This window comes from Homo sapiens, chromosome 16 (genome assembly GCF_000001405.40).
Source record: "Homo sapiens chromosome 16, GRCh38.p14 Primary Assembly".
Taxonomy (NCBI): domain Eukaryota; kingdom Metazoa; phylum Chordata; class Mammalia; order Primates; family Hominidae; genus Homo; species Homo sapiens.
In genome coordinates this window covers 77,758,402-77,785,415 of record NC_000016.10, presented here as the reverse complement: position 1 = coordinate 77,785,415, position 27,014 = coordinate 77,758,402, and the positions used below count along the sequence as shown (strand labels likewise).

Sequence of the window (27,014 nt, the reverse complement as noted above, 5' to 3'; positions counted from 1 at the left end):
ACAACCCAGAGAGAACCCACCACAGTCTGTGCTGCTTGTGGGGGGGTGGGGAGATACCCTCTTCTGAGTCCTATATACCACTATTGTTAAATATTCCCAACTCTGGTACTCCCTGGTGGAACGTGGAAAGAGCCACAGTGCATGGCATATCTCCAAATAAACACAATAAATCAATTTTTAATTTGTAAAATTGATTCCTTGGACATTCACTCAGAGCCTCCGTTGTGGAATTTCTTACATTATTGTAGAATAATGTGCATTATGTACATCATTGTACATAATGTCAAACAGTGGCCACTGATGGTAAAACAGAGTATTACAGCTCAGCTCTGTTACCTTGCAAATGGTCTGGGGCAGGGTATGTGCACGTGGGGGTGTGTGTGGGGGGTGGGGGGGGATGTAGAAGGCCAGATATAGGAACCCCTAATAGAGGTAAAGTCTCTGAGTAAGAAAATATGGGAAACCATCAGTACTGAGAGGTGACAGCATACTGGCAGCCCTCACAGCCCTCGCTCACTCTCGGGGCCTCCTTGGCCTTGGCGCCCACTCTGGCCGCGCTTGAGGAGCCCTTCAGCCCGCTGCTACACTGTGGGAGCCCCTTCCTGGGCTGGCCGAGGCCGGAGCCGGCTCCCTCAGCTTGCGGGGAGATGAGGAGGGAGAGGCCCGAGCGGCAACCGGGGCTGCGTGCAGTGCTTGCGGGCCAGCTGGAGTTCCTGGTGGGCGTGGGCTTGGCGGGCCCTCACTCGGAGCGGCCGGCCGGCCCTGTCGGCCCCCGGCAATGAGGAGCTTAGCACCAGGGCCAGCGGCTGCGGAGGGTGTGCTGGGTCCCCCAGCACTGCCGGCCCACTGTCGCTGCCCTCCCGGGGCCTTAGCTGCCTTCCCGCGGGGCAGGGCTTGGGACCTGCAGCCCGCCATGCCTGAGCCTCCCCTCGCCGCTCCATGGGCTCCTGTGCAGCCTGAGCCACCCCGACGAGCGCCACCCCCTGCTCCACGGCGCCCAGTCCCATTGACCACCGAAGGGCTGAGGAGTGCGGGCGCACGGCAAGGGACTGGCAGGCAGCTCCACCTGCAGCCCCCATGCGGGATCCACTAGGTGAAGCCAGCTGGGCTCCTGAGTCTGGTGGGGACTTGGAGAACCTTTATGTCTAGCTCAGGGATTGTAAATACACCAATCATCACTCCGTATCTAGCTCAAGGTTGGTAAACACACCAATCAGCACCCTGTGTCTAGCTCAGGGTTTGTGAATGCACAAATGGACACTCTGTATCTAGCTACTCTGGTGGGGACTTGGAGAACCTTTGTGTCGACACTCTGTATCTAGCTAACCTAGTGGGGACGTGGAGAACCTTTGTGTCTAGCTCAGGGATTGTAAACGCACCAATCAGCGCCCTGTCCAAACAGACCACTGGGCTCTACCAATCAGCAGGATGTGGGTGGGGCCAGATAAGACAATAAAAGCAGGCTGCCTGAGCCAGCAGTGGCAACCCGCTGGGGTCACCTTCCACACTGTAGAAGCATTGTTCTTTAATTCTTTGCAAGAAATCCTGCCGCTGCTCACTCTTTGGGTCCACACTGCCTTTATGAGCTGTAACACTCACCGCAAAGGTCTGCAGCTTCACTCTTGAAGCCAGCGAGACCATGAACTCACCGGGAGGGACGAACAACTCCAGACGCGCTGCCTTAAGAGCGGTAACACTTACCGCGAAGGTTCACGGGTTCACTTCTGAGCCAGTGAGACCACGAACCCACCAGAAGAAAGAAACTCCGAAGACATCCGAACATCAGAAGGAACAAACTCTAGACGCGTCACCTTAAGAGCTGTAACACTGACCGCAAGGCTCCGCGGCTTCATTCTAGAAGTCAGTGAGACCAAGAACCCACTAATTCTGGACACAGTACACTTTTAGAAATCGTTTTCTAAATTATTTGGAATGGTTCAGTAACTTCCCAGAGAAATGTTATTTAAGGAAGAGGGTCAATGTCTTTAACTATATGCTTTAATAATATTTGTTGCATTGTATTCTCTTCAATACAATTAGAATCATTTGTTGTACATATTTCATCTTTAAAATAATCCTATGCTATAGGACTATTATCCCTACTTTACAGAGGAGAAAATTTAATATAAACTGAGTAACTTTCCCAGAATTACTTCCTAAACAAATTGCAGAGTTGAGATTTGAAATGGGAGCTATTTGACTTTGAAATGTATGTTCTTAACCACCACACTTCAATGCTTATGGTTTTATTTGTTGCTCTTTTACTCACAAGAATGCCATCAAATAGGTTAAGAAAAAGGAGACAAATTTAGGAGGTCAATAATGGAGAGAGGTAAAAGATTCTGGCTGTTGAAATATCCTAACAAAATCCAGGGAGTTATATTAGAGGATTTGTGCCATAATTTCTTATAGTTTGTGGTTAATTCCCAATGAGCACAACATTATTTTTCAGAGAAGTGCTAGAGAAGTGTGCAGCCCATCCTGATGGTGGCAGTATACACTTCCTGTCTACACTTTGTAGGACGGGTCTTACATGGTAAACTCTAGTTGTGTCTGAGGGGAAAAAAAGTGCACTGATACTTATCACCTTTTGAGTGGTGACCTTGTGCTGTTGCTAAATGCTGGAGATAACATGGTGAATAAGACAAATATATTCTCAGTCCTAATGGAGTTATCAGCCCTGTTGAGGAGGTATATATTGGGTTGCCCAGGAGCAAACGTTTGTTAATTTGAAGATTTGCATACATACGGCTTGAGAAGTGATCCCAGGAAGCACTGGAAGAGGTCTGTGAAGGTGAGACAGGGTAGGAAAGAAGCCAATATGAGGTGTATTACTTAGCAGGTTATCACTGCTATAACCTGCTTAAATCCTGCTGGGGAACTCTAGGAGACAGCGTAGAGCACATCTCAGATGTATCCCCATCAAGAGGCAAAGAAAATGGAGAATCCACCAGCTCCTGTTAGTCCTTAGTTGAGGACTGTTTCTGTGGGGCACTAGCCATCTGCCACTTCTAGCCTGCCATGCACATGGGCTGTTTGGGAATAGGCAGCCAGACAAAGCTGTCCTGAAAGAGTTGCAGGTGTTTGTACTTGGAAGCCATGGGGTCGCTGTGCATGGCAGTGATGAGATCCAAGAGGGGGTAGGTTGGGCACTGACCATCTCTGCTACATATATTAAACCAAAAAAAAAAAAATCATGTAAGTAATTAGTCATTTACCAGTTCAATAAGTGCTGTAAAGGGGAAATACAAGGGGCTATCTGCATGGTCGGTAAAAGCTTCTCTATGAAAGCAATGGTAATGTATTAGGTTCAGCTACAGACAACAAAATATAATAATAAAATAAAAATTGGCTTAAAGAATATAAAATACATTAGGATGGGATGGAGGCTGTACATTATCATCAAGGATCAGTGTTCCTTCCTGCTCTGTACTCCAGGTCATGAATCACTGGCCTCCATTCTCATAGTTTAAGATATAGCCATCACATTTATGTGCTGGGTGACAGGACAGAGATGCGTGAGAGGGGAAGAAAGACCCACAGCTTTCATCTTAAGGGCACTTCAGGACTCCACCATAATACATGTACTTATCTCATATTAGCCAGAGCCTAGTCACATGGCCACATCCCACTGCAAAGGATGCTGGGAAACCTAGTTTTTTCTTAGCTAAGTAACAATGTCCAAGTAAAAGCTAAGGTTCTACAATTAATGAGGAAAGGGACAGATAGCATTAGGAGGTGTAGCAGTATCTTCCACAGATGCCACTGAAGGGCTTTAAATAAATGAATGATAGTCTGTGTGGAGTATTGAGGAGTCCCCATGGCCTCCCTACAACAAAACATTACCCAAGAATCCCAGTCCCTGGGATTCAATGCTTCCCTCTCACAACTCCTCTGTAAGATACATTTTCACCCTGTTGGAGTTTTCTCTCCATAGGGATCCAGCTGCAATTTTATAATGGATGTTAACAGGAAAACCCTAACCAAAAGTGCTACTCATAAGACCCTGAACACCATTTTAGCTCTCTATTAATCTGCTCATGTATGAATAGAAATAGAAACATTTCACCTGCTCTTACTCATCTCCATAAGCAGCTGTTATCCATGTGGAGATGATCTTATCAATTGTTTAGTATCATTTGGTAAACATGGTTGGTCAAGTAAAGAGGAAAATATACAACATAGGACTAAGGAATTTAAATCATGTAGTTTGTTTTTGAAATTTCACTCACACTGAAAGATAATTTCTGAGTGATTTCTTGTACCCCTCCCCTTGAATATTATCTAGGGTCCTCCCCCTAGTGTGATGCTGTATGATTTTTTTCTCTTTTTCTTTTCTTCCTCTTCCTCTTCCATTTCTCCTCCTCCTCCTCCTCCTGCTCCTCCTCCTCCTTCTTCTTCTTCGCCTCCTCCCCCTCCCCCTCCCTCTTCTTTTTGAGATGGAGTCTGGCTCTGTCACCCCAGGCTGTGGTGCAGTGGCAGAATCTTGACTCACTGCAACCTCCACTTCCCAGGTTCAAATGATTCTCCTAAATCAGCCTCCTGAGTAGCTGGGACTACAGGCATGCACCACCACACCTGGCTAATTTTTGTATTTTTAGTGGAAACGTGGTTTCACCATGTTGGCCAGGTTCGTCTCGAACTCCTGACTTCAGGTGATCCGCCCACCTTGGCCTCCCAAAGTGCTGGGATCACAGGCGTGAGCCACTGTGTCCGGCCCCTGTGTGTTTTCTTGTATGAATCACCACACAGTAATGCTGCCTGCCTCTTCCAAGCACTGCAGAGAGCTGTGTTTTCCCTAAAGTACTTTGCTATAGATCATGATGAGTAATGGGATGGGGACGTAAAATTCAGGTTCAGAAATAAACAAAGCATTTACTCCTCAAATAGGGTCCAACAGAAACCAGAAAGGGGACGAATTCCTCCCCTGCACCGTTTTTTCCACCTTACAAGCTGAGATCATCATACTATAAATAAGGATGAACCAGCCCTCCAGCTAATTCACTCTCTTGTTGCCCTGATGTCTCTGGTTGAGGCTAAGAGCTGATGTCCCTGAAAGTTTTGTTCCTTTTATTGTTGGATTGGCCTATATCCAGTTGGTTGGGGCTTCCTTGCAGTAATGACTGTGAAGCTACAAGACCTCAATGTAACTGAAAATGCACACCATGAAAAGGGCACATTTTGCCTTTCCTGTTCTGAGGGTAGCAGGCTTAAATCCCAGGAAATGGGGAAATGTTCTTCAGAAATCCTGTCCTATTCCTTTTAGTATGCCCCTTCTCTTCACAGAGCCTAATGGGGTACTTTCCACAAAGCAAATGGGAAGAAGTCCATCCATCACCCAATTGTCCAATCATCCATCTATCCACTCATTCATCCAATTCTACATTATTTTTTTGTTGTTGTTTTGTTTTATTTTTGTTTGTTTGTTTTTTGAGACAGAGTCTTGCTCTGTCGCCCAGACTGGAGTTCAGTGGCACGATCTCAGCTCACTGCAACCTCCGTCTCCCAAGTTCAAGTGGTTCCCCTGCCTCAGCCTCTCGAGTAGTTGGGATTACTGGCACCTGCCACCATGCCCAGCTGATTTTTGTATTTTTAGTAGAGACAGTGTTTCATCATGTTGGTCAGGCTGGTATTGAACTCCTAACTTCAGGTGATCTGCCCACCTCGGCCTCCCAAAATGCTGGGATTACAGGCGTGAGCCACCATGCCTGGCCCAATTCTGCATTCTTGATATGCACTAAGGAAGGTAGAAGGAACACATACCTTGTTTCCAGGACTTGTTCAGAACCCAGTTTTCCCATTTCCTACCTATGTGAATTTTAGGCTCTGAAAGGTTAAGAGAATTGCCCAATAAATGAGTATTAGAATATCTAATTCTGCATGAGATACCATGCCAAACTCTTCCAAGTATTATTTCCCATGCATAACAGTTGATCAATGGACAATAATTTCCTGGCTACTTCCTTCATGAATAAGGCCTGGCACCTGTCTTGAGTGGGGAGGCAGACACATAGAGAACATGGTGCAACGTTTCAGGGAGGCAAGACAATGTAAAGAGAGGCTACGTGCATATGTCTTGGGATCGGACAGGCTTTGTTCCTGGCTTGACCTTTTCCTAGCTATGTAACCATGAACAAGTTCCTTAATCTTTCCGTTGCTTCATTCTTTTTTTTTTTTTTTTTTGAGACGGAATATTTCTCTGTCGCTCAGGCTGGAGTGCCGTGGTGAGATATTGGCTCACTGCAACTTCCACCTCCCGAGTTCAGGCGATTTTCCCACCTCAGCCTCCCGAGTAGCTGGGATTACAGGCACCCGCCACCACACCTGGCTAATTTTTGTATTTTTAGTAGAGACAGGGTTTCATCATCTTAGCCAGGCTGATCTCCAACTCCTGACCTCGAGATCCACCCTCCTCAGCCCCCCAAAGTATTGAGATTATGGATGTGAGCCACTGTGCCCGGCCTGTTGCTTCATTTTCTAATCTGTGAGGTGTAGACATTGATCACATTGTCTTCACAAATATGTGGAGAAATTTAAAACAGCTGATTGAAATAAATGTCTATGCTTAGAAAAAAACTCTTTACATGTTAGTACTTTGTAACTGCCTTTGTCATAGCGCTTAATATTAAACACCTGTGTCTAATTTGAAATGGTTAGAGTTTAGTTAAGTGGTTTCCAAAGTCTATTCAACGAAACAGTGGTTTCCTAAATGTTGATGGATGCCAGGGTAAAAGGAGGGTCTGTGGTCAAATTAGCCTGAGACACTCTGGGTCAAATACAGTTAAGCAGCTTTCTTTAATGTAGATTTAGAGTCTTAGCATAACTCTTGAATCTCTACATAGGGATTCAGAATACAGCTTTACTGAGACTTATTAGACTTCCAGCCCTTTGCCCTTGAAGTTAACAAGATTAGCATTCTGCAGGATATCTTTTGGGGAAAACTGCTATAGGTAAATAAATGGATAACTATTTCTAAGTGTCTGCTCAAGGTTAGGCATTGTAGAAGGAACAAAAGAAAAAAATAACATGACTCTGACCTCAAGGAACTGAGGGGCTTACTTAAGATAAAATATACCACAAATTGTTTTAAGAAAACTTTAAATCCAGGCCCGAGAACATTATGAAGCAAATGAAGTGGGCCTGTTGTGGGACATAACAGAGAGTGGTGGGGACTGTGAGAAACCGGAGTGCAGAGGGCATTCTAAAAGAGATAGTGACTGGGCATGGTGGCTTAAGCCTGTAATCCCAGCACTTTGGGAGGCCAAGACAGGTGGATCACTTGAGCCCAAGTGTTTGAGACCAGCCTGGGCAACATAGTGAGATCCTGTATCTACAAAAAAATGCGAACATTAGCTGGGCATGGTGGCATGTGCCTGCAGTCCCAGCTACTCAGGAGGGGAGGCTGCAGCAGGAGAATTGCTTGAACCTGGGATGTTGAGGCTACGGTGAACCATGATCACACTACTGCACTCCAGCCGGGGCGACAGAGCAAGACTCTGTCTCAAAAAACAAACAAACAAAAAACTCAACTTTGATCCATCATTGTAATGTGAAAATGTGAGCTCAGGGTTGCTGGGGCTTCCAGGTGTTTCTGAGAGGCCAAAAGTCTGAATCATTATGTGAAATATACCAAATTTATAAAATTTTGACAAATATTACATAGGCTAAACAAAACATGTCTGTGAGCCAAATTTAGCCCATATGGCTCCAATGTGCAATGTTTTCTCTAAGTCAGAGGTGATTTTACGCCTTGGGGGACACTGGCAGTGTCTGAAGACATTTTTGATTGTTACCAGTAGTGCTACAAGCATCTGATGGGTACAGGCCATAGATGCTGCTAAGCATCCTGCAAGGCACAAGATAGCCCTAAAACAAAGAATGAGCCAGCCTAAAATGTTAATAGTGCCAAAGTTGAACCACCCTGTTCTTTTTTTTTTTTTTTTGAGACAGAATCTTGCACCGTTGCCCAGGCTGGTGTGCAGTGGCATGATTGATCTCGGCTTGCTGCAACCTCTGCCTTCCAGGTTCAAGCGATTCTCCTGCCTCAGCCTCCTGAGTAGCTGGGACTACAGGTGTGGTAGAGACAGGGTTTCACTATATTGGCCAGGCTGGTCTCGAAGTCCTGACCTCATTATCTGCCCACCTCAGCCTCCCAAAGTGCTGGGATTACAGGTGTGAGCCACCGTGTCCGGCCTTTTTTTAAAATTTATTTTATTTTTTAATTTTTATTTATTTATTTTTGTGAGATGGAGTCTTGCTCTGTTGCCCAGGCTGGAGTGCAGTGGCGCGATCTCTGCTCATTGCAATCTCCGCCTTCTGGGCTCAAGCAATTCTCCTACCTCATTCTCCCAAGTAGCGGGGATTACAGGCGTCCACCACCACGCCTGGCTAATTTTTGTATTTTTAGTAGAGGCGGGGTTTCATCATGTTGGCCAGGCCTGTTTCAAACTCCTGACCTGAAATGATCCACCCGCCTCAGCCTCCCAAAGAGCTGGGATTACAGACATGAGCCACTGCACCCGGCCTGAACCACCCTGTTGTAAGCCATGGATCCTTGGTTTCTGGGAGCAAGGTAGCCTGTGGTTTTGACTTGCTGCCTGTGTGACTTTGGAAATGTCCTTGTTTTGGTTGGTAAAAGAAGGTCCTTGGACTAATTGATGCTCAAGGGACTTTCCAGCCCAGAGGCTGAGGTCACATTAGTCCTCTCTATTGGCAGTGGCCTGGCACACAAGGGCTCTCTTTGCAGAAATGACATTGATCGGAAATGATAGCTATTGATGTGACAATACACACCAGGGGAATGTTCCCAACCTGGAATACTGTTTGTCCTTTGGATGAGCTCAGAGGTCTGTTTCATGCAGGTCTCATTGCAGACACTTGAATACATTTGAAGCTGATGTTAGAAGGCTACTAAATCATTCTGGGCAATTTTGTTTTAGAGACTGCCATATTTTGTTGAGGGAAAAATCAAAGGACACACTTTAATTTAATACACCTCTCCTTTTCCAAATAGAGACAGTCTCCCAGATATTGATTTTGAGTTTTGGCATTGCATGTGCCTGTTTATCTAGTTGGTCATTGTGAGCAAAGTTTATTTTTTATCTTAAGGATTTAACTCAATCATTTCCACAGTGGAACTGAGCAGGCAGGAAGATGAGGTGCATGGGGGGACGGAGTGACACTTGGATCAGGAGAATCAGTGATGGGGGGGAACACAGACTACCTGTACATGCAGGTACTAAAGACTGGAGTCTCCAATACATACACCCAGGACGTTACTGCTAATGCCCATCCCCAGGCAGTGTGAGTCACCCAGGCTGCTCGCTCACTCCGTGTGGGCTGCTATCACAAAACACCATGAACAGAGTGGCTTATGAACAACAGAGATTTATTTGTCACAGTTCTGGAGGCTGAAGTTCAAGATTCAGGTACCAGCAGTTTTGATGTCTGGTGAGGATCTGTTACCTGGTTCATAGAATGGTGCCTTCCAGCTGTGTCCTTACATGGTGGAAGGGGCGAGGGGATCTCCCTCAGTCCTCTTTTTTTTATTTATTTATTTTAGTTTAGTTTTTTGAGACGGAGTATCACTCTGTCACCCAGGTTGGAGTGCAGTGGCGCGATCGATCTAGGCTCAGTGAAACCTCTGCCTACGGGATTGAAGCGATTCTCCTGCGTCAGCCTCCTGAGTAGCTGGGATTACAGGCGCATGACACCACGCCCAGCTAATTTTTGTATTTTTAGTAGAGATGGGTTTTCACCATGTTGGCCAGGCTGGTCTCGAACTCCCGACCTCAGATGATCCGTCTGCCTTGGCCTCCCAGAGTGCTGAGATTACAGGCATGAGCCACCACGCCCGGCCTTCAGGCCTCTTTTATAAGGGCACTAATCCCACTCAAGAGAGCTCTGACCTCTTGACCTAATCATCTCCCAAAGGCACCACCTCCTGATACCATCACCTTGGGGATGAAGATTTCATATAAATTTGGAGTGGGGGACACAACTTCTAGTCTATTGTACTTCCCTCACATGGTATCATTGCTTCTTTCCTCAACACACTGCAGAGCTTCTCAAGCAGGTACATTTCTAGGGCGAAAGGGCTTCCTTTCTGTGATCCTAGAGAGGTAGAGACAGAATGTTGTTTAGTGATGTTTGGGTGCTGACCCTATCCCCCTATCCCTCTCCAAGAGGAGATATGGCCTTTAATGATGCTGCATTTCATTCAACAACCACGAAACAAGGTGTTTGCAACATTTACTTTAATAGCAGCATGTCAATTGTTATGGTAAGTTCTTCTGGGATCATGATACAAGCTTGAGGATGTAACAGCTGCAGAAAAATGAAACCCTATGTGGAGAGTGCCATCTGCGTCTATGCTCCTGTTAGGGGCTTTGGGGCCCAGAGGAACTGCACCAAACCATGCTATATCCGCCCCTTTTCTGGGTAGCAATTGCTCTTATACCCTTAGTTTGTTAGGCTGGGAAATCAATTCACTTGTATGGTAGGTGTGAGAGCAAATTCAGGCAATTCTGCCAATCCCCTAACATACTTGCAATGCAACATGTAAAGATTCACTTTACCAGTGAAGGTGCAATGATGCCTGATGTGCAAGTGTCTTAGTTTAGGATAAACCAAGATTAGGAACCCTGCAACTCGGATTTGAGGCCAAGTAGGAGAGGATCCCAGGAGGCACTGGTAGTGGAGTAAAAAAGTTAGAAAAGGAATGAAAAGAAACAGGAAAAGGGTGCATTTTCAAGCAAGTAGGCATCTGGGGCTCATCCCCACTGGGGAATTCTGGAAGATGGTGGGAAAATGTGTATTTTGAGTTATTCTACATAGCCACTGGTGAAGCTGGGATATTTATGCACCAATAATTCCCCTTCTTTCATGGGTTGAGGGCTGCTTTCACAGGAATTAACTTTTCAGAACCTCTGGCTTGCTCTACTTTCAGGCCAACCAGGCTCCCATAGCAAAAGCCCTCAGGCAAGAAGTAGCAGATATTCACAGTGAGCATCTTTAGCAGTAGAGAGTTGAGAGACAGGGCTATGGGTGGAGAAGTGATGGCACCTGCTGTTTGTAACACATTGATTTAAATTGTAATTATCATCATACAACTTGTATGAGTGTAAGCCAGCTGTAATATCCTCATGCTTATGGCTCTTATAAATAACTCTAAAAAGCAGGGCGTGCTTACACACTACATTTGTAAAGCAGTAAAAAGCAATACAGGTGAAAATAACAATAACGCAATGTGAGGCATGGTGGTGTTTGGTCAAACAAAATCAAAGTTTGCAACACAAGTATGGTACCGACTACTAGGGGGCAGGTTCTGTAGACTCTACCCTGCCTGTAATATTCTGTAATAACTACACTCCCTCCCACTTTTCTATCTTTCAGCTGCTGCAAAAAGTCAATCCTGGAGCTCATTTGCTCTTCACTTGACATAAGTGCTTCCTTTGGTATTAATTTTTTTTTTTTTTGCACCAGTGAAGGTTCTTACTTGAAACTGATTTAACATATTAAGGAAAGGGATCAATTGAAAGAATGTTGGGTAGCTCACAGATGACTGGGAAGTCTGCTTTGGATGCCTGCTGGAACAATGGAGGTTGAGAAACAGCTAGGACCCCAGCTGAAATCATGCCTGTCTGGTAAGGATGTTGCTTTTACCATTTCTGCTAACAGGAGACACTTTTGTTTGTGCAACCACCGCCACCACCAAACGGGGTACCATTGCTGCTTCATTGCCACGTTGCTACTAAAACCTCAACCATGAAGTTGGTTGTGAATCTGCAGTAGAACTTGAACCATAAGCCTGTATCCAAACTTGGGAGAGGCTGGCAAAGCCAATGCCTCATGTCATCCATATTAGAATGGGATGTGGGCCTTCCTACCTCTGGGACTCAAGGTGTGGCATACCCCAGACACGGTAAAGAGGTTCCATTGCTAGGCAGCCAAAAAATGTGACTAATGTCTACTAAAGTGTCTTTCTTGTTAGTGTGCACAATTAAAGAGGCAAAAGAAAAGCTTGGTGGACAGGTCCTAAAAGATTACTGAAATGTTCAAATAAAAAAATTTTAACAGTTCAAATATAGGGAAATGAGAAGTGCTAAGTACATAAGGACAGTAGAATCTTCTCTCTGTGTGCCTGTGACCATGTCTTGTCCTAGAAGGCAGAAGTTATGTCTATACATTTTTTTTTTTCTTTAGAGACAGGGTCTTGCTCTGTCACCTAGGATGGAGTGCAGTGGTGTGATCTCAGCTCACTGGAGCTTGGATCTCCCAAGCTCAAGTGATCCTCCCACCTCAGCCTCCTGAGGAGCTAGGACTGCAGGCATACACAACCACACCTGGCTAATTAAAAAAAAAAAATTGGCCAGGCGCGGTGGCTCATGCCTGTAATCCCAGCACTTTGGGAGGCCGAGGCAGGCAGATCACAAGGTCAGGAGATCGAGACCATCCTGGCTAACATGGTGAAACCCTGTCTGTACTAAAAATACAAAAAAAAAAAAAAAAAAAGAACATGAACTCATCATTTTTTATGGCTGCATAGTATTCCATGGTGTATATGTGCCACATTTTCTTAGTCCAGTCTATCATTGTTGGACATTTGGGTTGGTTCCAAGTCTTTGCTATTGTGAGTAGTGCCGCGATAAACATACGTGTGCGTGGTTGTGCACATGTACCCTAGAACTTGAAGTATAATAAAATATATATATATATTAAAAAAAAATAGCCGGGCATGGTGGTGGGTGCCTGTAGTCCCAGCTGCTTAGGAGGCTGAGGCAGGAAAATGGCGTGAAGCCGTGAGGCGGAGCTTGCAGTGAGCCGAGATTGTGCCACTGCACTCCAGCCTGGGCGACAGAGCGACTCCCTCTCAAAAAAAAAAAAAAAAAAAAAGTAGAGACAGGGTCTCACTACGTTGCCCAGGGTGGTCTCAAGCAATCCTCCCTCTTTGGCCCCTCAAAGTGCTGGGATTACAGGCGTGAGCACCTTGCCCAGCCTATGCCTACACATTTCTTAATGGATAAGAATAGGTCTTGAATGTGTATGTGTAAAGAAGGGGAATGAGCTGGCAAGAAAGGGAAGGAAACAGTTTATATTGAGTCTTCAGCTCCCAAACATGAATAGATTGGGGGCATTGAGTTAATAGGAACCAGAAGAGAAGGCAATTTTTGGAATAGAACAGAAAATAATTCTACTTGGTAGGAGAAAGGAAATCAATAAAAGGTATATTGAAGCCCTGGGAACTTCTGCTATGAAGAAAGAACTCATGGGTATAAAACTAAGAAAGACCAGGGTATTTAAAAGAATACCAAAGATTCTACAGAAGAAAAGGTACTAAGGGAATATTCAAAGACAATCTGGTTTTCTACGACACTTGCTCTGGAAATAAAACTCCAAGGAAGTTAACCACAACCTCCTGAGCAGCTGCTCTTCCTGACCTTGGTTAACACACTAGAGCTTCTTGAGGGGAGATGAAGATTTTATTATTTTTAATAAAAAACTATGGGGTCCCAGGTAAATTTATCTTACCAACTTTTCTCTGATTATACACAAAATGAAATTATTCCCATAAGAAGAATATTGGAACAGATGGACTGCATAATCTACTTGAAATTTTTTCCCATCTGTATTTTTGGGCATCTGGGTATTAACTGGGGATTTCATGGGAAGGCATATGCTCAGAAGTGAAAGTCATTTTGAGATAGACACAGCTCAGTTGAGAAGACCATCATCATTCCTAGAAAAGGCCCAAGACAGGGCAGCAATTTAAGAATGTTCCAGTTGGTGAGCAAGAAGTGTCTGAAAAAATAAACTTCAATAAATGAAACTTTAAGTGCTGACCTTTCTGCTGTTGCCAGCAGATTGCAAAATTGTGTGAGAGTGTGTTTGTGTGTCTTTGAATGCTACAATTCAGTTTGGTTCTACCTGTGGGGTAAGGGACCTGCGTGGAGTATTTTTGGAAGTGTAAAGTGGTACAAACATGTGAGAGAGTGATTTGGGTATATGAGACAAAAGCCTTAACAAGATAAAACTTTGGACCCTTTTTAGTAAAGATATTCTTAGTAAACAATTAAATATATGTGCAAATATTTCAGCTCTAAGTATTTCTATTGCAGCAGTAATTGAAATACTCCAAACCTGGAAATCTAAACTTCTGATAACGGGAGTCAAGATAACAGATTTATTTTTTATATCCATACAATTGAAAACTGTGGGATCTTTGAAAATATTATTCATGGAAGCCTATTTTGATCAGGTTTAAAACGCACCCCAAATAATATGATAAAAATAATATAAGTAAAATAATATATCTTACCTTTGAGGTATGTACATATGCATATGTATTGAGTATTAAGATTTGGAAAGATCAGTGTCTTCATGGTGATTATCTCTGGTTGATGTTTTATGGGTGTCCTGAAATTTTTATTTTATTTTTGCATTGCTATATTTTCTAATTTTTCTACAGTTAACATACATGGCTTTTATAATCAGACATTTTTTAATGACCATGTTTTAAGGGGAAAAATATCCAGCATAGTTCTTCCTTTCCAGCTTTATCGATGAGAAAAGCAAGACATAATTTTTAATAAGTGAATAGTTGTGTGGTTTGCCATGTTTAATATACATCTCATGAATGGACACAATATCCTGTGAAGTATAAATCCTTTTATCTTCATTTTACCCTTATTTATAAGAAGCTGAGAGGTAAAGGGATTATATACAGCTTGAGAATAGAAAAGCTGAATTCAACCCAGGTGGGCTTGTTCCAAAACCCGTATTATTTTCACCACACCAGCTGTCACCCAGTTCCCAAATGATCTTCCAGAGAAGCCCCTTTACCCCTGCTTTTGATTTCCCAGAGTTCTTGCTTCAAATTGGCTTTGAGAGGCCAAGGCTGCCTTTTAGGGGGAAAAAACCCACAAGAGTTTATAGTCTATCTTATTTTGAATACCCAACAAATATTAACCTTTGGAGAAGGATTATTTCTGCCCTTGCTCCTCTTCCTAGAACAGAGAGTGTACTGAGCCTAGGATAATAGCATCTAGTAATAGGACACAGGGTGAAGAAAGAGGCAGGCTCTTCTGGGACAGCACAGAGGGAGCGTTATACTTGGCACTGGACAATCTGGCCGCCTTGTAAATGCTTCACTGGCAGGGTCCAAGGTGAACCTGCATCCCCGTTCCCAGTGGCCCACCCAGAAGAAATTCAATGAATTAACAAATGAGAAGTGGGTCAACCTTCCTCCAAGAGTGGGGTAATCTAAAGGATTAAAGGTACCAAGGGCAGTGGAGGAGGGAGTAGAGAGAATGTCCAAAGGGAGAAAATAGCTTTTAACTTTCTAACTGCAAAATAGGCAATACTAAGGCATAACGTTAAACACTTAGATGAAAGGGCCTATCTCTAATCAGTTGCTGGGAGAGACCAAAGAAATAGGGGAGCCATTGGCTCTGGGCTTGGTCTGAGTTGGAATGTACATCTCAAACCCAAAGTATAGGATTGTTTGACACATGTCGAGTCTTGTTTCACATTGATCCCCAGTGTGTAAGTGACTGACTGACGCTAAGTTACCAATAGATTTTACCACTCATCTCTTCTCATCCTGGTTTATTTTAGTTTATTTTCTGAACAGGTGGAGCATTAACATGCTTCCAGAAGTCAAAACTATATAAAGGATATACTCCGAGAAGTATTCCTCCCTTCTGTACCCACTCCATCTTGTTCCTCCTAGCCAGCTCTTGAAGGTAGCCAACTTCATAGTTTTCTGGCTTTTCCTTTGTGTTTCTTTTTGGAAAGATGTGTGAATGTATACGCATTTTGTCTTTTTTTCGTCTTCTAACACAAAAGGTAGATTCTATATATTCCTTTTTGCACTTTGCTTTATTTTTAACCTGACACTATCTCCTAGAAATCACTCTATAATCATTTTATACAAATCCTCCTTCTTTCTTTCTTTTTTCCTTTTTCTTTTCTTTTTTTTTTTTTTTAGACAGAGTCTTGCTCTTGTCACCCAGGCTGGAGTGCAGTGGTGCGATTTCGGCTCACTCCAACCTCCGCCTCCTGGGTTCAAGTGATTCTCCTTCCTCAGTTTCCCGTGTGGCTGGGATTACAGGCACCCACCACCATACCCAGCTAATTTTTGTATTTTTAGTAGAGACGGGGTTTCACCATGTTGGCCAGGCTGGTCTCAAACCCCTGACCTCAGATGATCCACCAGCCTCGGCCTCTCAAAGTGCTGGGACTACAGCTGTGAGCCACCGCACCTGGCCAAATCTTCCTTATTTCTTTAACAGCTGCCTAGTAATCCATTGTGTGTATGTACTGAAGTTTATTTCCACCCAGTTTTTAACTCTTGACAACTATTAAAAATTCTTTTTAAAAAATAGAATAAAACACATCGATGGCCTGTGAGATTATCATCGCCAGCCTGCACATTTGCATAGAGTTGAACATGTCCTCAAGGGAAGGAGAGGGCTCTGGGGTTGGCATATTGGGATGCAGAAGCAACCAGTTCCTGGTTGGGTGTTGAGAACATTTCCCAAGACTGAGAAAGGGTCACGGGTACATGAATGGTTGGGACACACTTCTCACTGTTTCACAGTGCACCAGGGAGGAGACAGATACCAGAGGAAAGTGGCTGTGGGGAGGACGCTCATAAGGAGGCAGAGCCCCAGGTACCAGGACCCTCAGCCTCACAAAGCACCTGCACTCAAGCTGTGCATGGAAACAACAGAGAAATCCTCCTTCAAGGAGCCACATGAGTAAGAACCAAGAGCCTCCTGAACAGAAGTTCTGCTCTTGGGAAGACTTCTAGTGCCTTCACAAGTTGGAGGGAGATCCATTATTGTATTTCCTGCCATCCCAATGGAATTGGGAAGATCGGCATAGACTATTCCTTTATATATTTGTGTATTTGTTTATCGCTGAGATGCAGAAGACTGTTAGCAGATTAAATTTTATTCAGGGAAACAAATGCAACATTTCTTGTATCCTGTGTATTGAAGTTAGATTCATTCCTCCTTCCTAGGTACTATCTTATTTGATTCTTACAAAACTACTGCTGAGAAGATATTATTCCAACTTTATAAGTTTTGACTCTAAGATCCTCAGAGACTAAGCTTCTTGTCCAAGACCACACAGCATATAAGAGGCAGCACTGGAGTTTGTACCCTATGTCCGACTCCAAACTCCCCAATTCATCTTTTCCAAAGAATAGCACTTCTCAAAGTAATGGAACCCATAATGAGTTCATGGTCACAGAAATCACACTCCTTCAGAGTGTTAAAAAATATACTCTGGCATGTTTTGTTCCTTCCGTTCAAACTCAGGAAACTCAGGAAGTACACAGAAGTACAAAGTATTATGTGCTTTAAAGTCTATATAAGGAAATCTGCAAGTGTCCAGGAATATTTTTGAACAATCGGATGAAGCAGTCATGGATATTTATTTGTCATGTTTTGTGAATGACACAACTCAATTTCACTTTTTGCTTGGTAGAGTCGGAAATTCACTCTAAACAGGAGAAGCAGCAATGAGAACTTCAAGAAGAGATATAAGGTAAATCAATTCAATTGACTATCAAAGTAGCTTTTTCTTTCTTTCTTTCTTTCTTTTTTTTTTTTTTTTTTTGAGGCAGTCTTTCTCTCTCACCCAGGCTGGAGTGCAGTGGCAGGATCTCGGCTCACTGCAACCTCCGCCTCCTGGGTTCAAGCAATTCTCTTGCATCAGCCTCCTGAGTAGCTGGGATTACAGGCACCCACCAACACACCTGGCTAATTCTTGTATTTTTGTATTTTTAGTAGAGATGGGTTTCATCATGTTGGCCAGGCTGGTCTTGAACTCCTCACCTCAAGTATTCTATGCGCCTCGGCCTCCCAAAGTTCTGGGATTATAGGCATGAGCCACTGTGCCCAACCTCTTTTTTATTACTGTCTTTGATTAAAAGTAAAAGAAAACCTTTCACAATGAACTTAAGGGAAAAGTGAGGTGGTGTTTGGAAGGAAGCCAAGGGCAGACAGGAGAGCAGAACAGGGAAGACGTCTGCAACCCAGACTGCCATTTTTTCAGTCTCTCTGGGACAATGCGGTGTTTTGTCTTTGCTTGTCTCTGAAAATTTGCTTTTCTCTTCCCTTTTTTCTTTGCTTCTCTGTGCATGTGTTGGAAAAGTATTATTTTGGCCTTCAGCATGTCTCCTCTTGGCTTCTTTCATAGACAAGAAAGGAAATAAGTCAACCATCGTGAATGAGCACAAATGAGCTTAGTAGAAAATGAAGAATCTAAAAGAGACTTTCTCCTCCCAAGTTCTAAATGACCTTTCGGTGGGTACAGAGCTGGCTCTTCAATGGAGGGGAGTTCAGGAGGCAGTGGGGGCAGATAGAGGCCTGGAAGTTCACGAGGGTACATTTGCAAATTGCCCAAGGTTGTGCTTTTCTAAGAAGCAGAAACAGGGTTTCAACCCAGCTGTCTCTGACTTAAAATCATTAGGCTAGAAGCAATCAGTTCATGGTTGGGTGTTGAGAACATTTCCCAAGACTGAGAAAGGGTCACGGGTACATGAATGGTTGGGACACACTAGGACTGTATGACAGGAGTTACTTTCCTATTCCTGACTCCCTCGTGTGTTGTTGGGAACTTCAAATAAGGTAAATAGCTGCTAATAATATCTTGGGAATTAAGGCGTACCCACCATATGTGACAAGTTTGTTACTGACAAACCCACCAAGCGCCAGACACACCTAAAGTAGCAGAACCCAGATTCAGAAGACAAGTGAGGCTGAGTTGTGCAATGCGGGCACGGGGCCTATCTTGATTGAAAATATTGATATTTCATTTATCATGGATTTTTTGCATCAATTTTGATTTTTTAGAAATAACACATTTAGACCGTTACTTATCTTGATTGCTAAGGTTTTTGATGCCCCCTGAAATTTTGCATCTGAGGTGAGTGCCTCACTCTCCTGACCCTACTCTTGCCCCTTGAGCCTTTTATCTTAGCAGGTTTCCCAAAGTGTGGGACACATAAAATTAGAAGTTCACACATAATTTTAGGTGCTACCTTGCCGTGATGTTACATAACATGGGGCACTTCATGAGAAAGTTATCTTTCCTTTTTCTTTCCCCATTCTTTTTCACCTTTGCTCCAAGTGAAAAAGTCTCAAGTTGAGTGCTAGCAAATATTCTGACACTTTTCTGACATTTGCTCATCTACTCTTTGAACAGTAAGGATTGGACTTCAGGCTCAAATCCCCAGGAGGCATCCTAGGTATCTTTCTGTTTGCCTTCTAGATCCATGCTCTTCCTTTTTCCATGCCCTCCTCAATGCCCTGGAAGACCTATCTCCATGGAAACCATTGGAGCAGGTCAACAGGCTGATCTGGCCTCTAGTTTCTGGATTGTCCTAATAATCAGAGATACCAGCAGACAATTGGAAGACAGGAAGAGGAGAGCAAGCTCAGAATCCTTATTTCTCCAGCTCATTCCCTGTCCCATTTGGCTTTGTTCCTGTAAGGCAGGTTGTAACTCCCACTAGGTCGCCCTTCACTTCCAAATATCACCGACCCTGTGTGTTCCAATAACCACCCTCATTCCTATACTCTCATGCCTAGGGTAGTGTTGCCAGAAAAATACAGAATATCCGGTAAAATTTGAATTTTAGATCAATGACAAATCACTTTTGGTATAAATAGGTACCATACATTGCAAGAGACATAATTATACTAAAAAAAACTTTATTGTTTTCTGAAATTCAAATGTCACTGGACATCCTGTGTCTTTATTTACTAAATCTGGTAAACCTGGCCTCGTGGATAATTGCCCTCTAATGTTACCAGCTATTTTTTTTATTTTCCTTAACTTTGCCCACATCATTGTTAATAGTTTCTCCATTAAACTCTCCTCCACTTCCCCATTTGACGATGTCATCTATTTTGTGATGTGCCCCAGACTCGTCACACTTCTATTAGTAGGCATCAATACCGTATCTGGCTAGAATTTTCTAACGTTGTTTTGTTTCTCATTTTTAGTTTACCTTCTCTTTATGGCAAGTGATATTTGTTTTCCTTTCATGGTAGTGAAATATATTTTCTTTTAAAAATAATTGGCTGGGCATGGTGGCTCATGCCTATAATCCCAGGACTTTGGGAGGCCGAGGCAGGTGGATCACTTGAGGCCAGGAGTTTGAGACCAGGCTGGTCAATATGGCGGAACCCTGTATCTACTAAAAATTCAAAAAAAAATTAGCTGGGCATGGTGGTGTGCACCTGTAATCCCAGCTACTCAGGAGGCTGAGGCAGGAGAATTGCTTGAGCCCAGGAGGCAGAGGCTGCAGTGAGCAGAGATTGTAACACTGCACTTTAGCCTGGATGACAGAGCAAGACTCCCTCTTAAAAAAAAGTTTGAAAATAGCAGTAGAGATAGAACATAACTATTTCAAAATTCATAGAGAAGGTTTACACGTGGACTTCCTTTGAGAAATACTCAGAGACAAAAACCATGACCTCTGGAGGCCTGCTGACACTGGTTCAAATCCCAGCTCCATCAGATAAGGCTGTTGCAAAGATGGAAGGAGATCCTGAATGCAAGGCCCTCAGTAGGGTGTTGGGACTGGGATCATAGCTGGGCCGTATTTAAGTAAATGCTTGCACACACACACACACACACACACACACACACACACACACCATCACCCACCCCAAAAGTAGAGTGTTTCACCCAAGGACACACAGCAAATGTGAGGACTGAGGCTGGAGTGCAGGAACTTGGCCCTGAGCCCAGTGTTTTTCCATAAGACTACAGGCCCCGTTGCCTGGTGTGCCAGGGAACTTCCACGTCAGCTGGCCCTGCTCCTTGCCCTGCAGCCTGTCTGGAGAGAGTGGTCAGTCCCCATGACGTGGTGTTTTGGGAGGCTACAGTCAAGGCATCTGAGTCTTGCCAAGTTGATGTTTCAGAGGGAGTTGTTGAAGACAAAAATTTTTCATTGGGCTTAGTAAGCTCAGAGAAGAAAAGAAGAGGTCTTGCTTCACTAGTGAATGAATGAATGGATAAATAAATAAATTCAGGGAGGTGTGAGGTAAATCTCAACCTGCCAAACCCTGGCTGCAGTGCCCTATCCCCATGCCTCCTGTATACTCCCCACCAGCTGCAAGTTGACTTCATGTGGCATCTTCTCCCCTTCTGGGAGAAATTTCCCACTTCAGGAAATTAGGTCTGGCCTGGGCCCCTCAGCTCTCTGGAATGTTGGTTAACCTGCTTCTGAAGTGGTATTCTGACCTGATCTAAGAATCTATTATGTGCAAAGCACAGAGACGGTGCCCAAGAATGAGCAAGAAGGATTGAGGATCCATAAATGTGTTCTCTAGTCAAGGAGAAGAAGCACATTTATGGAGCCACTCATGCTGCCATGGACAGTCCTAGAAACCTCACACACAGCCTTTCCCTCAGTCCTCACGATAGTCCTGAGATGGGGAAACTGCACCTCGGATACCAGTGGTGTTACCATCCAGTGTGCCCATCCTGTTAACTCACTCATCCTTACAGCTGCTCCTGAAAGAAGACACTGTTATTATTATTATTATTATTGTTTTAGATGGATTCTTGCTCTGTCGCCCAGGCTGGAGTGCAGTGGCACAGTCTTGGCTCACTGCAAGTTCCGCCTCCCAGGTTCACACCATTCTCCTGCCTCAGCCTCCCGAGTAGCTGGGACTACAGGGGCCTGCCACCACACTCGGCTAAATTTTTTTGTATTTTTTTTTTTTTTAGTGGAGATGGGGTTTTACCGTGCCAGGATGGTCTCGATCTCCTGACCTCGTGATCTGCCCGCCTCGGCCTCCCAAAGTGCTGGGATTACAGGCTTGAGCCACTGCGCCTGGCCAGAAGACAGTTATTGCCTCAACTTACAGGTATGGATGTGGAGGCTTAGAGAGGTTAGTGACGTGTCCAAAATCACACAGATGCTACGTATTAGAGCCAGGATTAAAACCTAGCACTGCAGCCCCAAATCCCAGCCTCTTTATGTCAGATTCTGCATGGCATGTGGTTAAGGAATTTGCTCACACAGCTGGTGAGAGGCAAAGCAGGATTTGAGTCCATGCACTTTCCTCTATATAATTATGCATCTCAAGGGATTTATTGTGTTGTAATCTTGGAATCCACATTTCTGTTGAATTGGGTTGAAGTACCATAAAAGTGCTGTGGGACCAAAACTGGGGTAAGAGAGGGAAGGAGGAAGGGAAAAGAAAGATGGCAGGTTGGCATCATAGGAGTTTATACAGAAGGCAGCGTTGAAGGATGGCCTGGATTTGATGAGATGGTCATATGGGCTGGACATTAACTGGGAAGGGACAGTGTGAATAAAGATTGGAGGTAAGGACAATGTGGGGACACAACTGAAGAATTATCTAGATTGTCTGCATCTTTGGTGCATGCCCATATTGGCTGTCTCTGTAGGTAAAGTTTCTCATGCGTGTTCATTGGGGTCCATTCTGTAGAGGTCTTCCTTCTGATATTCGACTCCAGACTTCTCACTCATAGGCACCAACCACATGAATCTTCTACCATTTTGTCCTTAAGTTTTCATGAGCCAAGGATTTGCCAGGAAAGCTAAGAGCAGGCAGAACTGGCATGAATAGAGACTCAAACTTTCTCAGCCAAGAGCACTTTATATCAAACATCCCTATCTTTCCTGGGTAGGTGGTTGTAGTAATGGGCTTCTCAGGCTTGGCACTGATGTCTCAAGTATCTCTGGAGGGGACAAACCTCTGCTTAAAGATGCATGTCTCTTAGGTGGCCAGACAGCTACATACATTGGCTTCTTTGGAAAGAAATAAGTTAGTTTGTTTTTTGGCACAAAGCCTTGTTATGTCAGGTCGTGTTTTGTGAAGCAAGAAACATGATGACTTTCATATTTGCCTTCTTTGATGAAAGAACAAAGCTGAGAGTTTTGCGTTTTTCCAACCTCTTTGCAAAGTGTGCCTTTCCAGAATTGTAAACAAGTAAGTAACTGATATCTGTCCAGTTTGCAAAGGGCTTTAGCACTTTTGATCCTTAATATAACTATTGGGAAAAATGGGTGTTAGTGTCCAAAGAGTCACTGATCTCTACAGACAGTTGACTAAACTGAGGCTGGAATTGGTTTGTAGAAATCAGGGATGAGAATCCAGCAAATGCAAAACTTCAGTGCTTGGTTCAGTACATGTGTCATTGTGTGATGGTATCTCTCAGGTGCTATTTCTCCATCATTTAAATTTGGTAGCACATTACACTTCCACTTAGCACATTTCAAATGTAATAAGGGTTTAAGAAGTGTTAGCTACACAAGACAACAAGTGTTGACAAGGATATGGAGAAATTGGAGGCCTTGTACGCTACTGGTCGAAATGAAAAATGGTGAAGCCACCGTGGAAAAGAATATGGAGGTTACTCATAAATTTAAAAATAGATCTACCAGGCTGGGGGCGGTGGCTCTCGCCTGTAATCCTGTCACTTTGGGAGGCCCAGGCAGGCGGATCACGAGGTCAGGAGTTTGAGACCAGCCTGGCCAACATAGTGAAACCCTATCTCTACTAAAAATACAAAAAATTAGCTGGGCGTGGTGGCACATGCCTGTAATCCCAGCTACTTGGGAGGCTGAAGCAAGAGAATGGCTTGAACCCAGTAGGCGGAGGTTGCAGTGAGCCAAGATAGTGCCATTGCACTCCAGCCTGGGTAACAAGAATGACATTTCATCTCAAAAAAAAAAAAAAAAAATAGAACTCCCAAATGATCCAGTAATTCTACTTCGAGGTATTTACCCAAAAGAATTGGAATCAAGATCTCGAAGAGATATTAGTATCCTCATGTTAATTGCAGCATTATTCACAATGGCCAAGAGGTGAAAACAACCAAGACCAACACAAACCTGAATCTGAGAAACACTGAGCAGGCAGCAGGCTGAGCTTATCTTGAAGGAATCCAGGTGCCTTCCAGGCCTGCTGCCCTAAGAGCTCTCTTGCCACTTAATACCTGGTGTCCCCTCTCCAGTTAAAAAGGATTGAAACAGCAACTGGCATGTTGATTACCACCAAACAGCTGCACCCCCAGCTCAGATCAGAGAGGCATCTGCTTGGAACAGAACATTTTGTTATTCTGGGTGCCTTTTTCTCCAGCAGTTCAAGCGTGATGGTGCATATGAGAGATATTGAGCAGATATTTATTCAAACACCTACCATAAACTGAAAAGTTAATTTAATTGCTCTGAGCTTTTGAAATAGCCTCCAAACTGTTACCAGAATGACCTTTCTTCAATTACTTCTGACCTTGTCAATGACCTGATTTTAACCCTTTAATGGTAGCCTCCTATCTACAGGATGAACATCAGTGTCCTTGGTGAGTCATTCAAAGCATTTCCTAATGTGATTCTTACTGACTTCTTTGCTTTATCTTCTGATCTCTCTGGCTTCATATATACACTCTAGTTTACCTAATCGCTACAGCTCCCTGGATGGGCTTTGCTGTTTCATGTCTTCTTTTATGCACTTTCAAATGCTGTTTCTGCTGTTTGGAATGTCTCTCCCTGTCTTGGTCACCTGCTGCATTTCTAATCATTTTTCAGGACTTAGCTCACCACTTTTGTAAAGCCTTTGAGATTAACTACTTCCTGCCATTGGAAACATATAAACCTAAGGGATACATTCATTCATACTGGATTACGATAGGTTATAGTCAATTTATTTACTTGCCTTTCTCCATGAAGGCATCTCCAGGTGAGCATATACTAATTGTGACAGCCACTAAATGAATACAAATTTCAACTTTTATTAAAGACCTACTAAGTGCCAAATTAGAGACCCAGGTATAACAGGCTGTATAATAGCCCCCCAAAACACCCACATTCTAACCCCTAGAACCTGTGAATGTTTCCTTAAAAGGAACATTGCAGATGTGATTAAGTTAAGGATCTTCAGATAGGAAGATTATCTTGGAATATGCAGGTGGGCCCTCAGTGTAATTACAACTGTCCTTTTAATGGATGGTAAGAGGAGGGACCACGTGGCAGTGTGAATACTGAAGCAAGGTGCTATACTGCTGGCTTGGAGATGGGGAAAGGAGGCATGAGCCAAGAAATGAAGTGCTAGAAGCTGGAAGGCAGAGGAACAAATTCTCCCCCAGAGCCTCCGGAGGGAGCACGGTCCTGCGAACACTTTGGGTTCAGCCCAAGAAACTGATTTCAGATTTCTGGCTGCCAGAAGTTCAAGAGAATACATTTGTATTGTTTTAAGCTGCTAAGTTTGCAGAAATCTGTTACAGCAGCAATAGGAGCCTAATACATCAGATAACAGATATAATAGGACAGGAATGACAGATGGTAATTATAGAGGAAGTGTGAAATAGAGCAGTGCTTCTCGAACTTCAGTATGCACAGGAATCACTGGGGATCTGGTGAAAGTCAGATGCTGAGTCACTAGGTCCAGGGAAGAATCTGAAGCTCCACATTTCCTTGCAAGCTCCCGGGTGAGGACGTTGCTACTTGTCCAGGGACATCACTTTGAGTAGCAATAAAATAGCAATGGCCAAATGTAGATGAGACAGATCAAAACAAAGAGTTTTGGAGAGGCAGCTGTGATTCTTGATATAATTTCTGTTTTTTTTTTTTTTTAATTTGTACACACTTGTTTTGTGGCCTAAGATATGGTCTATTCTAGAGAATGTTCCATGTACAGGTGAAAAGAACGTGTATTCTGCAGCATTTGAGTAAAATGTTCTGTAAATATCAGTTAGGCCTACTAGATGGAGTGTGTAGTTTAACTCTACTGTTTTCTTTGTTGATTTTCAGTGTGCACAGAGTTTTAAGGACACAAATCAGATGGGCATGAGTGAAGTGCCCAGGATGGACCTATGTTCATCCCACCAATGATTCAGTGCCCCTCCTGGTCAGGTGTCCAGAGGCCTCACACTTTTATTATGTCCATTATTCCCAGCAACCCTGCAGAGTAGGCATCCTAATGCTTGTTTGACAGATAAGGACATGGAGGCCTAGAGGATTAATGGCTTTGGCCACACCCACATGGGACTAGAATTGTGTAACTCCAACATATGTGGGTTACTTTTTTTTTTTTTTTTAACTTTACTACCTTTTCGAAATCATGGATAATATACATGTGCTATGGGGCTTTGCAGAAAGATTAGTGATCCCAGCTAAATGGAGATTTTCATCCTCCAATGAAACATGCTCATATTACCAGGGACAGAAATTGGACTTGCTAAACCTAGGCTGAAAAGGAACCAGAGTTTTTATCAGGGCATCTTCTTAGGGAAAGTGACAGCCCAAACGCTCAGAAGGCAGAGTGAGCCCTGCGCAGACAAGAGGGCTGAGAGGGTGGAGAAGGAAGGGCCTTGCCTCCCTGTTGGTGGTAGAGAGGATGTAGAGGAAGGTGCATGAGTATGAATCAGCCCTGTAAGAGACCCCACAGGGTCAGATCAGAGAAGCTAAGGGCAGTCAGCAAATCCAAGGAGCAAGGAAAAGGCAAAAATAGGAGGAGAAATTAAGACTAGTTCCAGATCCAGGACTAGATCCAAAACCAGAGACTAGATCCAATGCCAGGACTAGATCCAAATCCAGGACTGGATCCAGAACGGGGACTAGATCCAGAATGGGGACTAGATCCAGATCCAGAGACTAGATTTGGATCCAGAGACTAGATCCAGACCAGGACTAGATCCAGAACCAGGACTAGGTCCAGATCCAGCACTAGATTCAGAACCAGGACTAGACTGAGAACCAGGACTAGATCGAAATCCAGGACTAGATCTAGATCCAGAGACTAGATCCAGAACCAGGACTAGATCCAGAGCCAGGACTAGATCTAGAAGCAAGACTAGATCCAGATCCAGAGACTAGATCCAGAACTAGGACTAGATTCAGATCCAGAGACTAGCTCCAAATCCAGGACTAGATCTAGATCCAGAGACTAGATACAGATCTATAACTACAGAGGGACAGCAATGGTATCAAGAGCCAAACATCAGCCACAAAGGGAGCC

General features: G+C 43.8%; 1 long non-coding RNA gene across 6 annotated transcripts in view; it reads left to right on the top strand.

The window, feature by feature from the left end:
• The window catches only part of LOC107984878 (uncharacterized), a 77,518-nt gene that overhangs the window by 34,972 nt on the left and 15,532 nt on the right, over positions 1 to 27,014 (top strand). Inside the window, exons 2-5 of one of the 6 annotated variants that reach the window (XR_001752258.2) lie at positions 11,395 to 11,645; positions 15,632 to 15,743; positions 17,497 to 17,556; positions 24,587 to 24,737. The exons of 1 other annotated variant lie outside the window; for it this stretch is intronic. This is a non-coding gene — a long non-coding RNA (uncharacterized LOC107984878). Of the gene's footprint in view, positions 1 to 1,615; positions 1,861 to 11,394; positions 11,646 to 15,631; positions 15,744 to 17,446; positions 17,557 to 24,586; positions 24,738 to 27,014 lie in introns of those variants that run through there. 4 more of the 6 variants (XR_001752260.2, XR_002957866.2, XR_001752259.2 and 1 more) reach the window with 4 other exon arrangements.